Here is a 14362-nt window from a genome sequence, read left to right on the forward strand (position 1 = left end):
TCAAGACAGCATCACATTGGTACAAAGATGGACAAAGAAATCAATGTAACAAAATAACAGTCCAGAAACAGACCTACATATACATATATATGAAGATATATATACACACACATATAGATACACACACATATAAAGATACACACACACGGCATATATACACATAAAGATATATATATACACACACATATATAGTACATATAAATATATGTGCACATACACATAAAGATATATATACACACATATGTATGGACAACACATTATCTACAAACTTACAAAGGCAATCCAGTGGAGAAATAATTGCGTTTTCAACAAATGCTGCTGGAGCACCTAGATATCCACATGTAAAAAAACCTTAGTACCATATACAAAAAAAAACCTCAAAATGAATCATAAATCTAAATGTAAAACCTAAAACTATAAGCCTTCTAGAAGATAACAAAGGAGAATGTCTTTGTAACTTTGGGGTAGGCAAAGATTTGTTAGATGTAATACCTTTAGCATGATCCATATAAAGAACAAATTAACAAACTGGACTACATCAAAGGTAAAAACTTCTGTTCTATGTATAACATTATCAAGAGAATAAAAAAAAAGCCACAGATTAGGAGAAGCATATGGAAATAAAATATTTTATGAAGGACTTTTACCCAAAATATCTAGGGAGCTCTCAAAGCCAAATAATAAAAAAATGCATGGCTCATTAAAAAGCTGACAAAATATTTGAACAAGCACTTCACCAGCAAAGTTATATAGATGGTAAACAAGCACACAAAAAGATGTTCAACATTATTAATGAATTAATGATTAAAGAAATGCAAATCAAAACTGCAATGAGACACCACTATATACCTGCTAGAATAAATAAAATTTAAAAGACTGGCTCATGCTTGTAATCCTAGCTACTTGGCAGGCTGAAGTGGGAGGGATGCTTGAGGCCAGGAGTTTGAGAATAGCCTGGGCAACTTAGCTAGACACTATCTCTAAAAAATTAGCCAGGCATGGTGATACATGCCTGTTGTTCCAACTACTCAGGAGGCTGAGATGGGAAGATGGCTTGAGCCCAGGAGTTTGAGGCTACAGTGAGCTACGATTGTAGTACCACACACTCCAGCCTGGGCAACAGAGGAAGACCCTGTATTTAAAAAAAAAAAAAAAAGAATGACCACACCAAATGTTGGCAAGGATAAGAGGCACCTAAAACTCACAAATACAGTTGGGAGAAATGTAACATGGTATAGGCACTTTGAGTAACAATTTAATAATTTCTCAAAAACTTAAATGTATATCTACATATGATCTATATATTCCCCTCTTGGCATTAGTATCTAAGAAAAATAAAAGCATTATGTCCATACAAAGAATTATATTTGAATGTTCATAGAAGCTTTATTTGCAATAGCCAAAAACTAGTGGCAACCTGAAAGTCCATCAACAGGTTAACGGGTAAACAAATTGTGCTATCTCCACACATGGAACGATAATCAGCGATAAAAAGAAAGAACTATCATTACACATAACAACGTGATGGAATCTCAAGATAATCATGTTGTGTGAAATAAGCCATACAAAAAACAATATATGCTATGTGATGCACATCAAATTCTAAAAAAATACAAACTCATCTCCAGTCTGAAAGCAGAACAGTGGTTGCTGAGGGTTGTTGCGCAAGGCGGAACAAAGCAACAGGAAGGAGCATGATGGAGGGATTACCAAGGGGCACAAAAACTTTTAGGGATGATATTGGATATGTTTATTATCCTGATTATAGTGATAGTTTCACTTATATATATGTATGTACGTATGTGTGTGTTCAAACTTATCAAATTGTACACTTAAACTATGCACAGTTTACCATCCATCTCAAAGCTGTTTTTATATAAAGTTGCACTAATGATCCAAGAAGGAGTAGTTTCTGCAAGAGGCTGGCTTATGAATAGGACATGGAGTGGTAGAAAGTGAGCATAGACTACTTCCCCAACAAGCTTAGCTTTGGTTGTGGAGAGGAAGAGGGTGAAAGAGTGTCTGGCATGACCAGACAAAAGGCTGAGTTATGTGTTTAATATGGGAGGAGACTGAGCATATTTATATACTATAGAAAATGAGCCAGTGGAGAGAATGAAGTTGAAAATTTAGGAGTCAAAAGCCAGCTGATGGAATACGGGATAAAAAGTCCAAGAAGAAAGATAAGTCTTGAATGTGAGGAACCTTATGGCTACAAATGCAAGTATGTTTTCTGGTTAAGCTGACAGACACAGAAGTGGTCTGAAGAGGTGGTAGAATTCAAGTCTGTTGTTCTCTCTTTTCTTTTTCTGGGAAGGATGAAGTTTGGAAGGAGTGGGATACTTAAGAAGAATGGTGGAGCTTTGGAAAAATCACTGGCTACCACAATTGAAATGGTGGTTAGAGACAAACGTTCAATCTTTGGGCATTCTTATATAACAAGATGACAGACAATAAAATAGATGTAAGCAAATAAAATAGCTGTCCCTTCTGCATGTGCACAATTGATTATTATCCAACAGTCTTTTCTCTGATTTCTCTCTTTTTACCTCTAACCACATTTCACTCGTGATAACCTTTCTGTTGGTCCTCACTTATTTTTCCCTCAATGCACAATAGATTTTTTAACGAATTCTTTCCTCAACATCATTGGGAAATATTTCTAACATACACATGAAATTCGAGAATTTAATGAACAGCTTTACTCAATCTTAACATAATACCATATTTACCTAAGTTCAAAAAAAGTTTCAACCAAATAAAAAGGTCCACCGGCCAAGAGAGATTTCATCATGGGCAAACATCAACATGCTCACTTACTTTTCACATTTCATAGATTTTATGAATAATGCCCAGAGCACCTCTGAGAACTCCAGGTATTACTGTGGGTAGGTAAAAAGCAAATATGGTCAGAAATGGCCACAGGCAAGCTAATTAGGTAGTTCCCCTGAAGTGAACTGTTAATATATTAAAGCCATGCAAATTAGATCATACCCAGAGGTCCTCGGTTTGGAAAAAATGCTCTGGTAAAGTAGGAATTTTTAATAAAAATGATAATTATGACCCCACAGCACTGATAGTATTTTTCTCTAGTGTTCCAATTTTTGTTGCAACTTTGGCATTAGTAAATATAAAAAAGGTTAATAAAAAATATTTTCCGCATATCATGTAAAGTTTCTGAAGCTGAAAGCATGCAGTTTCTAAAGACAAGAGTCATTTTTCTTTAAGCAGTAATAAATCATGCATTAAATCTAACAAACTGTAATTCGGATAGTGTCAGAGGCGTGTGAACCAGAGCAACTCCATCTTAAATGGGAGCTGGGCAAAATGAGGCTGAAACCTACTCGACTGCATTCCCTGACAATTAAGGCATTCTAAGTCACAGTATGAGATAGGAGGTTGGCACAAGATACAGGTCATAAAGACCTTGCTGATAAAACAGGTTGCAGTAAAGAAGCCGGCTAAATCCTACCAAAACCAAGTGACCTCTGGTCGTCCTCACTACTACATTCCCATCAGCACCATGACAGTTTACAAATGCCATGGCAACGTCAGGAAGTTACCCAATATGATCTAAAAAGGGGAGACATGAATAATCCACCCCTTGTTTAATATTTCATCAAGAAATAACCATAAAAATGGGCAACCAGCAACCCTCGGGGCTGCTCTGTCTATGGAGTAGCCATTCTTTTATTCCTTTACTTTCTTAATCAACTTGCTTTTGCTTTGCACTGTGGACTCGCCCTGAATTCCTTCTTGGGCAAGATTTAAGAACCCTCTCTTGGGGTCTGCATCAGGACCCCTTTCCTGCAACAACAGTACCTGCCAAAACAGACTGTGTGCATCTCCTTTCAGAAGTTCAACGGTATCCCCGGCCTGGAGCTGTAAAGGGGGTCCTTCATGCAGAGCTGGGGGTGGTGTTCCAGAATAGTTCCTAATGACCTGCATCTTTGGTAAACCTGAAAATAAGCCAAACAAGTTTTAGAATTGAGAAAACAATGATGCATGAAGTCTACATGAACTTTACAAAAAATGTCATTATTAACATTAAAAAGTGTTAATACCACCAAGTCCAAGTAAACATTTTAAGTAACTATAATAGAATGATTTTCAACTTTCTCATTATATGAGATGGTAATAGAATAAGACACATATTTATCCCATGATCCCTGACATAGTTTTCCTCTCCCTTACCATCAATCTCTTTTTTAGTTGAAAAAATATTTCTCCTTCAGCTGATGCCTGCTTCATAAAAAACACATCACGTACAGTTTAATGGAAAAGAATCAATTTTTTCATCAACTCTATCCTTTCTGCCTATTACTTTCCTCTTGGGCACTGGCTGATTTCATCACTGAGGAGGCTCATCCTTTCTGTGTATGTATCACATTGCCCAGTATATGGATCATATCTTAAGGTTATCTTTGTAATTCAAAAGCAAAAAGGTGATGGATGTGCCACTGCAATACTTAAGACATTCATATGGAGAAACTCTTCAGGCTCAAATTTAGGCTTGCAAAACAGACCCAATAAAGGGAATATGTCTAAGCCAATAGCACCAATGATATTTGAAATACAGATCCATTCCTTCTCTTTGTATTTCTTTGAATGTGCAATGAAGGCCTCAGTTCACGATTTCATTTTTGAGAGAACAGCAGCTTCAATTGAACATGGGTCTAGGTGCAGCAATACTGGTCACAATGGACAACCTCACAGTCACTTATTCATTTACAGGTGAAACTGCTCCCAACTAAGAGAGGTCCACTCATAAACATGATATTTTTTGCACATTTAAGGACTGAAGCCTTTATTAAGCTTCAGGACTTTTTATTCTAATGATTAACCATGGTGAAGCTGTAACTGGCTGAAAATGCTGCACTAAACATGTAAAGAAGGATGAATGACTGTCATTCAGTTCTAGATGTCCAAGTTACCTAGAAAACTCTCAAAAGCTACATGAAATGCTTCAGCAAACAGTTTATTAAAGTCCTCAAAATTCTTTTGAACAACATGCCAGAGGGAGAAAAACAAGTGTGGCTATAAACTGAACAGACTAGAAAAGTTTTAGTCAACACTTGTTTATCAATCCAATCAGGAGGCAGAGGTTGAAAAACACTGTGCCCTTCACCCCAGTTTAGCTGCTGGGACTGCTGAGGCTTGTCAGGAGTTGCTACATCCTCCTTTGCTTCTGTTCTTGTGCCGCAGAACCCCCAGAGGGATGATTTTAATCTCACATTCATGGAGCATTTCCCTACCAGATGTTATAAGGTCTCACCCTAACACCAACAGCAGATTTCATTGACTTTCCCCTAAACAACACTCTATAAGAGAACTCCTCTCAGTTAAATGTTTAACAGACTTGCTCTCAATACACTGCAAATGCCTTTAGTATAGAGAGTTTATTTTACATATTCTATTAAGTTGCTACTGCTAATTTAAAATGAAACCTAAATATCCCATACACAAGTGATTAAGAACTCCAACAGGTGGAAGAGGATGTAATATAAAGTGGAATAATTTTTTAAATGGAGTCTGGTTTGCATGATAGTTAACTCCGTGTTTAAGGGAGAGAATTGCAGTTCACCTCCTTTTTATTGAGCATACCTAGGGCAAGGAAAGCATCTTGTTTGGTAGACTCCCTGGGTAATTTTGTTTTTCTGACAGTTTTAAATATAGGCGGAAGTCAAGAAAGAAGATCTTTTAAACCTCAAAGAGCTGATGTGGTCTCAAATACTGGGGCCAGTTCTGAGCCGTGGACTTCACTGCAGTTTTCTGTTGCCAAGAGCCACAGGGATAAAAAGGGAGCAGCGTCATGTGACAAATGATGGAAAGAGCTGTTTCTTTATTGCCAACATGCCCAAGTCAATCATTCTTAAGAAGAAACAACTGAAAATTCACAGAGTGTTTAGGAAAAAATTAACTTTGATGACATTTCACCACCCAAATATATATTAGGGATTAAAATACAGAAATGCCCAGGCTCCATAAGAGGCTGTAAGGTGTTAGGGATGGAGCAATGCTGCCTCATATGTCTTTCTGTAGATGGACTGGAATGCCCACCACATGCCCATAACATGTAAAATTATATTTAACATTACAAAGGGTACATACTAGTGTATACACTAGTATGTATACACTAGTATACTCTGTATACTCGAGTATACAGAGTATACACTAGTATACTCTGGTCAAGTAATAGGACTTAGCTATTCTAGCTTTTCTAGTCCCACTTATTCCTAAGTTTTTTATTTACTCTATCTTTTCTGGTATTGCTTTCTTCTTGGTTATGAGCTTCATTTAAGAAGTTCACCTAGTAGCACACTACTATAGGTATGTTGCTGACCTCTTCCCCAAAGCAAAAATGTGTAACCCTTGCCAAGAATTATGCTTAAGCCCAGGAAATAGCCACTAGGACATTGTCATTAACCTCTATTCAGCCATAATCAACTTACAAAGTATAGTGTTTCTTCAACTCATATGGTTTTTTGTGGAATGGGTTGTGAGTTTATGATATAATGGAATGTATTTTTTTTTTTTTTGGTCATTTGTTAGGGTTATCTTTGGCAATTTATTTCTTACTGTCAGCACTTCCAATTTCAGCATGATCTGTTGTCAGGGGTACAGAGATCAAAGGATAAAAGGAATGAAACAAGGGCACAGCGATATAATGAATTCTGACAACTTGCTCTTTGCTTCTGATTTTAGCATATAGTAGGTGTTCTACAATACAGGTGGGATAAATGGTTGCTATCCAAAATGCCCTTTAATATCTTTCCACTTATGAAAAAGGCACCATTACATTGCTAAGAATGTGAACACACTCACATTAACTGGAAGACAAAAAATTGCGATTAAGAGGAAATGGGTTAAACCTGACGTCAGCATTCAATCATCAATAAAATTCTTAACACAATCTACTGCCACAGAAGGCATCACACTTCACAAATGAGATCAAGAACGGAGAATAAATTAGATTTACAGATGTTCATATTTCGAACAGTCATTTAGTATTAATTTAATATAGGTTTTCTTCTCCCCTTAGAAAATATGCCTCTGATAGGTTTTTAACCTCTGTTTAAAAATGTCCAGGGCAGAACATTCACCACACATCCCCATGACAACTCAGTCATTGTTGCAGAGTTTATTAATAAGGTCTTCTTGAAACTTACTTAAAAATCTCTACGTAACTTCTCTCCATTGACCTACTGCCTTCCATCTGGAATTATGCTGAAGATGGCAAATCTCCTTTTCATAGATTAGTCTTTCAAAATTTGTTCAGGCTTAAAATCACCAGTTCCTTAAAAAACTCCATATTTTCCCTTGGCTACCATACTTCAAAGGATGCTGAGGTGCAAAGTAGCGTAAACTACAAAACTTGAACTCTAAGTTTCCTCACTGGCAGTGATTAATTGGAAACAGACAGTCATATTCCTTAAAAAATGACAAGAAATACACATTTCATTATATTATAAACTCACAACTAATCTCAGAAAGTTGCTTCTCTCTTCTTGGGAAAATACAGACCCAACAATTGTTTAGTTTCTCTCCACTCCAGAATTTATTTACAACAGATGTGTTAGCTGAGTTACAGTGTTGCTCACCCAAATATGAATATTTATATTGCAACTACCTTCAGACATTAAATGCAAAATAATCACATGTACTTTCACCATATGTATTTGGGCAATCTTAGAAGTTCCTAAAACTTTTATATAATCAATTATAATTATCCAAGAGAATATGATTAAAATACTAAGCCAAAATTAGATCTCCTGCCAGATGTTTAATTATTTTACCTTGTTTTATCCCCTACAACAAAAGCTTTGTTGTACAGCTAACTATGCCCTTAATATATAACTTGACAATTTTGCTCATTAACTTTTGCTCACATTAGTAATTGTGCTTGGTCTTACATCAGACAAAATGCCCAAGTCAAACTTATGCAGGAGGAATTAACAAACAAATTAGCAATATTAAAAGGATAGTTACACTCTACTAATAGTCGTGTGTTTCTGGTTAAATAAAACTAAAGCTACATGTAGGTATGCAGAATGCTGGAGTTTCCCAAAACAATACAGAAGTGTTTTTAAAAGGGGGACCTGAAACAAAATTTCCTTTCAAATCTGAATTTAGTACCGCTAAGAGTGACACACTCCAAATGACACATGTGCTTTTTTTAAAAGTTAATTCTAAGTAGAACCCTATTAGAAAATTTTCTAGATATAAATTGTTTCACTGATAATTTTCACATAAACTTTCAAACTTCAATGAACTGAACAGCTAATTATAGGAGCATCAACCACTGTGTCTTCCAAGCAGGGCAAGAAGAGCGATTGCTACAACATAGATTAGTATCTATTCATGATGCTGTTATCACTGCCCTAATGCAATGGGCTTCCCCGAGGCAATAACTTAGAGGAGAGTACTGCCTACTAGATAAATGGGCTGTAGGTAATATGCTAGCCTTTCACCTCTGAGGCCCAATTTAAAATCTAAACACAGCCACATTAAAAAATAATTAGTTTTACAAGATATCAGAACATGTAGATGTTTTATCCTGGGAAACTGATCACAAGCATAACATATTAATTCATTCATCAAATGTGACTTCAGCATTCCATAAGTGCTGGGCATGGCAGTTTCAGAAGAAAGCAAGGGAAAGTATCCTGCCTTCAAACAGCCTATAGTCAGTCCATGGAATAGACAGACAGGTGAACTCTGAGATAACAATACAACTGGGCATGGACCTCCATCCAGAGGGAACTTTAAAACAAATAAATGTTCATATCTATAAAAATTTTCAGAAATTTTCCTTTCATAATTCTTGGGTAGGACCCTAAAACATGTACATTATTTTTTCTATAAATTTCCTAGGTGTGACATCCAAACTCTAGCCAAGTTTGGGAATCACATTCTTGTGGGTACATGTGCAAAACACCATGACCAACACCTACCACTGCCAAATTTGCTTTTGAGAAAATTACAGTGAAATAAGTGCTGCCTGTCATCCTCCCAACTAAAAAACCCTTTATAAATTAACATCTGGACCTTTCCTGATACAAGTTCACAATCTAAGAATCAGGTCCTAAGAATCAGGTTGAGCCTGGGATGCTAGGTGCTGGGATTCCCCTGACATCACAGCTTATAGGGCTCTTTCTAAGAAAGCATGACTTTTTCATTGATCTGCTGGTCTTCAGAGAGGAGTAAAAGGAACCACGGCATAGAATTTTGGTGGAAAAATTCCATGCTACAACAGAAGCAGGCAATTTGGTGGAAAACAAACTGGTCTAAAGAACTGACTGTTCACAAAGGGAACACTCCCCATCAATAATTTTTAAAATTTTCACCAGAGAAGCCTACATTATTTTTATAAACAATGATGACTCAAATAATGGAAATAGCACTGTCACAGCTCATATAAAAACAAGGATGAGGCAGAGATGCCTTCCTTCAACTTCATAACCACTGACTAGTCACTCTTTGGCACTGTCTACTGGAGTATTAGTGAATCATGAATCAAGGATGAAAGATATGATAATGTCTTTGGAAGTTTTTTTCACCTTTATTAAAAAGGTGTTTATAGGCTACCAAATATAAAATAACTATAAAATTTCATGTGTTACTTGAAAATCCATGCAAATTTAACATTCTGTTCTGTTATACATGTACATTTTATTGGAAAAAATGTTTCCCTAAAATATTTAAGGTCAAAGCTTCAGGAGAAAATGCCATGTACTTGGCAGACCCCTGGCAAACAGCTATTCCCAGGGATGTAAGGAATCCAGTTTCAGAAGCATAGCCCTGAGCTATCTTATCATCTTCTTTAAAGATAGAAAAAGAACACAATTACACAATTTTACAGAGTATTGTCACCTAGTCTAACCACCTTATTTGTCACATTATAAAACTAAATACTAAAATAAATTGTCTAAAGTCAACAGCTAATCAGAAGCAAAAATGGAACAAAAATCCAATTTATAGACTCTTAGTTCAGGCTTCCCTACTTCAGGTTGGTCATTCTATGCAACCTACAGGGAATGAGACTGGTAGAAAAGAGGCCACTTGACATGGCTGATGTATGTTTCAGGATGATCTGAGTACCCGCCACATGTCTGGTGTTATCTTGGGAAGCAGGAAAGGAGGAGGTAGAACTTTTCTTCAAGTGGTGAACAACTGAGAGCTCACCAATACTAGGCAAATTCCAGGAGGAAGGTAATAACTCCCAGTAATATATTCTAAAAACAGCCTCAAAAGCCCTCAAAAAACAAACAAACAAAAAAAAAGCAAGCACTGTATTGGACAATCTGTAGAACTCTTAGAGCCTGACACGTCTGTATGCAGCTCTGTGGACGTGTGAGTTAGCAGCCACAGGGAGTTCTTTCTACATAAGGTTATTATCACCTAAACCACATTATTCTGCTCATCTGACTACACCCAAGTAATTCAGGGCTGGTGATTAACTTAACTCAAAGACTGCAATAAATAGGCTTAACATGTGAGACACCAGCGGCTGAAGAGGAGGCCAAGAGAGACAGTCTAAAGGAGCAGCACTCATTGAAGAATATTTGCTCTTACAGAACATGGAAGCAGGAGGCAGATATCTAAGTCAGCAAAGAACAATTTCTGACTTCTGTAAACAAAAGATGACTGAGATCACTAGTTTATAAAATGGTTGGTCCAGAAAGATTCCCTTAAAGCCTCCTGTACTCTTCCCTTCTTCTAAGGCACTGAGGTCCAGAGTGATTATTGAGATGATCCCCTTGGCTTTTTTTTTGTTGTTGTTAACCTCCTACCATAAACACCCAGCTCCCAGAGCAACTGAGCATGTTTTCTTTCTCGCAACCAAAATGAACCATTATCAGTCCACTCATAAAGGATATCTAAAGGAGAAGATAACAGCGTAAAAGTAAAAATGATTAAGGGCACTTTGCAAGAACCTAATTTTCCTTCTTTGTTCTATGGGTTCATTCACTTATTCAGCAAATATTTACAGATCATTCATGCATTGATATTGGCTTTGCACTGTGAATGCTACCATAAATAAGACTGACTACATCCCTCCCTCATAAAGCTCATATTTTAGTGGAGGAGACAAACACAAAAGCAAGTGAATCAATGTAATAATACCAGATAAAAGTATCATAAAGAACCACTTAGAAAGAGATTCTGGATTAGAGAGTGACAGGGGTGTGTGTGGAGTGGGGGATGCTTTATTTAAGGGTAGGCCATCAGGTCAGGGTTAAGACCTGAGGAGAAGACAGTAGGCATTTGGGAGGAAAAATGTAACAGGCAAACTGAGCCATATGCGTGAATGCTCTGAAACTGGAAAGAACTTGAAAGTACTTGAGGGACAGAAAAAAGGTCAGTGACACTGCATGAAAGCAATGGATAAAATTTAAACTTGATAATAGGCAGTCTTGAGGGTCTGGCCCATTTTATTACTCCTTTCCTACACTCATTCTGTGAATTACTTGAAATTTATTGAACAGGTCAAGTTCTCATTAACATACTTTACCTTCTTCCTGGCATATACTTACTGATGTCTGAATATTCAGCTCATCCACCAACCCAAGGGAAAAAATAATCTGAACTACTATTCTCACTCCTTAAAACTCATATATAATTTCTACTAATAAACCCATTGCTATAGACTAAATGTTTATGTACCCCCAAATACATATGTTGACACGTAATTCCCAACATGATGGTATTAGGAGGTGGAGCCTTTTTTTTTAAATTTTTATTTTATTATTTATTTATTTATTTATTATTATTATTATACTTTAAGTTTTAGGGCACATGTGCACAATGTGCAGGTTAGTTACATATGTATACATGTGCCATGCTGGTGTGCTGCACCCATTAACTCATCATTTAGCATTAGGTATATCTTCTAATGCTATCCCTCCCCCCCCTCCCCCCACCCCACAACAGTCCCAGAGTGTGATGTTCCCCTTCCTGTGTCCATGTGTTCTCATTGTTCAATTCCCATCTATGAGTGAGAACATGCGGTGTTTGGTTTTTTGTCCTGGCGATAGTTTACTGAGAATGATGATTTCCAATCACAATAGCAAAGACTTGGAACCAACCCAAATGTCCAACAATGATAGACTGGATTAAGAAAATGTGGCACATATACACCATGGAATACTATGCAGCCATAAAAATGATGAGTTCATGTCCTTTGTAGGGACATGAATGAAAGAGGTGGAGCCTTTGAGAGGCAATTAGGCCACAAGGGTGGAGCCCCATGTGCAGAATTCCTGCCCTTGTAAAAGAGGCCCTAGAGAGCTCCCTCACCCCATCTACCACGTGAGAACACTGAGAAGACAGCCATCTGTAATGGCCCTTGCCAGACACTGAATCTACTGGCACCTTGATTGTAGATTTCTTAGACTCCAGAACTGTCAGCTGTCATTTATAAACCACAGAGTCTATGGTATTTTGTTGGAGCAGCCTAAACAGACTAAAACACCTACCAACATTCCCTTAAGTGCATTTTAAGTGCCTTAAACATACACTCCTTTAGATACTCAATCTTCTTGCTTCAGTACCACTCAATACACCAACAGTATTTATTTAGTATAAAGTGTAGGTACCAGACTATAGCACCTTTTTTTTGTGTCTTCGTACAGAGTTTATATCTACTAGACTGTGACCAAACACCATGGTGCCATAGGTTGTGCTCTTTATCTCAATTATTTATTTATTTTTTTTCAAAAAGGAAGGAAGAAACAAAGTAAGGAAGGGAGGGAGGGAGGGAGGGAGGGACCCTTTCTCTCCCAAAGGCCACCCTTCCAAATATGCATGTGCACACACATGCACATATACTTGATTATATCTCTAAAATTTCTCTCTAATCAAACCATTTCTTGCCACCTTCATTTCTACCTCCCAGTTCAAGCACTGTCTTTCTAATTGGCTTTTCCTCATTCAATCTTATAATGTTTGACCATCCTACACACAGCAGCCTGATTAAAAAAATAATAAATTATATAATAAGTTTCCTATTAAAAACTTGCTCACTGCACTTAAAATTAAATTTGAACTCCTGGTCACTGCATACAAGACCCTATATATTTTCTGGCACCTGATAACTCTCCAGTTTCATCTTGTTCCAGCCTCACACTTGCTCACTCTTTTTAGTCATGCTTTCTTAGGGTTCCTTAAATACCTGGAGCAAGTAGGTCTGTCACAGACGAGTGAACCAGAGCAACGCCATCTTGAATAGGAGCTGGGTAAAATAAGGCTGACACCTAGTGGGCTGCACTCCCAGACGGTTAAGGCATTCTAAGTCACAGGATACGCTAGGAGGTCAGCACAAGATACAGGTCATAAAGACCTTGCTGATAAAACAGATTGCAGTAAAGAAGCCGGCTAAATCTCACCAAAACCAAGATGGCCACGGGAGTGACCTCTCCTAGTCCTCACTGCTACACTCCCACCAGTGCCATGACAGTTTACAAATGCCATGGCAATGTCAGGAAGATACCCTACATGGTTTAAAAAGGGGAGGCATGAATAATCCACCCCTTGTTTAGCAAATCATCAAGAAATAACCACAAAAATGGCCAATCAACAGTCCCTGGGGCTGCGCTGTCTATGGAGTAGCCATTATTTTATTCCTTTACTTTCTTAATAAAGTTGCTTTCACTTTACTCTATGAACTCACCTGAATTAGTTCTTGTGCAAGATCCAAGAACTCTCTCTTGGGGTCTGGATTGGGACCCCTTTCCTGTAACAGGTCCAGCCAAGGCAGTCTACATTATGAACTTGCAATTCACATAGTTATCTGTTTACTTGTTAGTATCTATCTCCTCTTGTTTTCATATATATATTTATATTGCCTAAATTTGTATGATAAACATTTATTTTCATAGCCAAATTTAGCTTTTAATGATACAAATATTCAGTTATTATTGGTATTATAGAAACAAACTGCCACTTGATCATTAGTTTTTACTTGCTTTTAAACTACTTTTATTTATTTGTGCTTCTACCCAACTATCAATATGCTAAGTGTAACTGACATTTTCCAAAAAAATAAAATTGTTTTTGACATGTAAAACTGCTAATATATTCCTTAAAGGTTCTTACTAAGGCCCTCTTAATAATTTATACTCATCCTGAATACACTTTAAATGAGATGACTTGCATCATTTATGTTAAAGAAAAACACCCAACTTTTTTATTTCCTATACACTCAATTATTTGCTTGCTTTTCTTTATTTTTCTCTGTTCTCTTGACCTCCCTCCTTCCTGTGATCTTCTGCTTGAGTAGTAGAGAGCATATTCAGATGCATTCCCAAAAGATTCAGATTCATGCAGACAGGGTTTATTGATTTATAAGCTAAAATGAAGA

General features: G+C 37.0%; 1 protein-coding gene across 12 annotated transcripts in view; it reads right to left on the reverse strand.

Annotated features, from left to right (window-relative positions):
- The window catches only part of VAV3 (vav guanine nucleotide exchange factor 3), a 394020-nt gene that overhangs the window by 67636 nt on the left and 312022 nt on the right, over positions 1-14362 (reverse strand). For 11 of the 12 annotated variants that reach the window (XR_007063680.1, XM_017000053.2, NM_006113.5 and 8 more), the window contains one exon: positions 3823-3959. Coding sequence is in view for 11 of the 12 variants with exons in the window: in XM_017000053.2 (XP_016855542.1) it covers positions 3823-3959 (137 nt within the window). In the remaining variant the exon portion in view is untranslated. Of the gene's footprint in view, positions 1-3822; positions 3960-14362 lie in introns of those variants that run through there. The other variant, XM_047430543.1, reaches the window with a different exon arrangement.

This window comes from Homo sapiens, chromosome 1 (assembly GCF_000001405.40).
Source record: "Homo sapiens chromosome 1, GRCh38.p14 Primary Assembly".
NCBI lineage: Eukaryota > Metazoa > Chordata > Mammalia > Primates > Hominidae > Homo > Homo sapiens.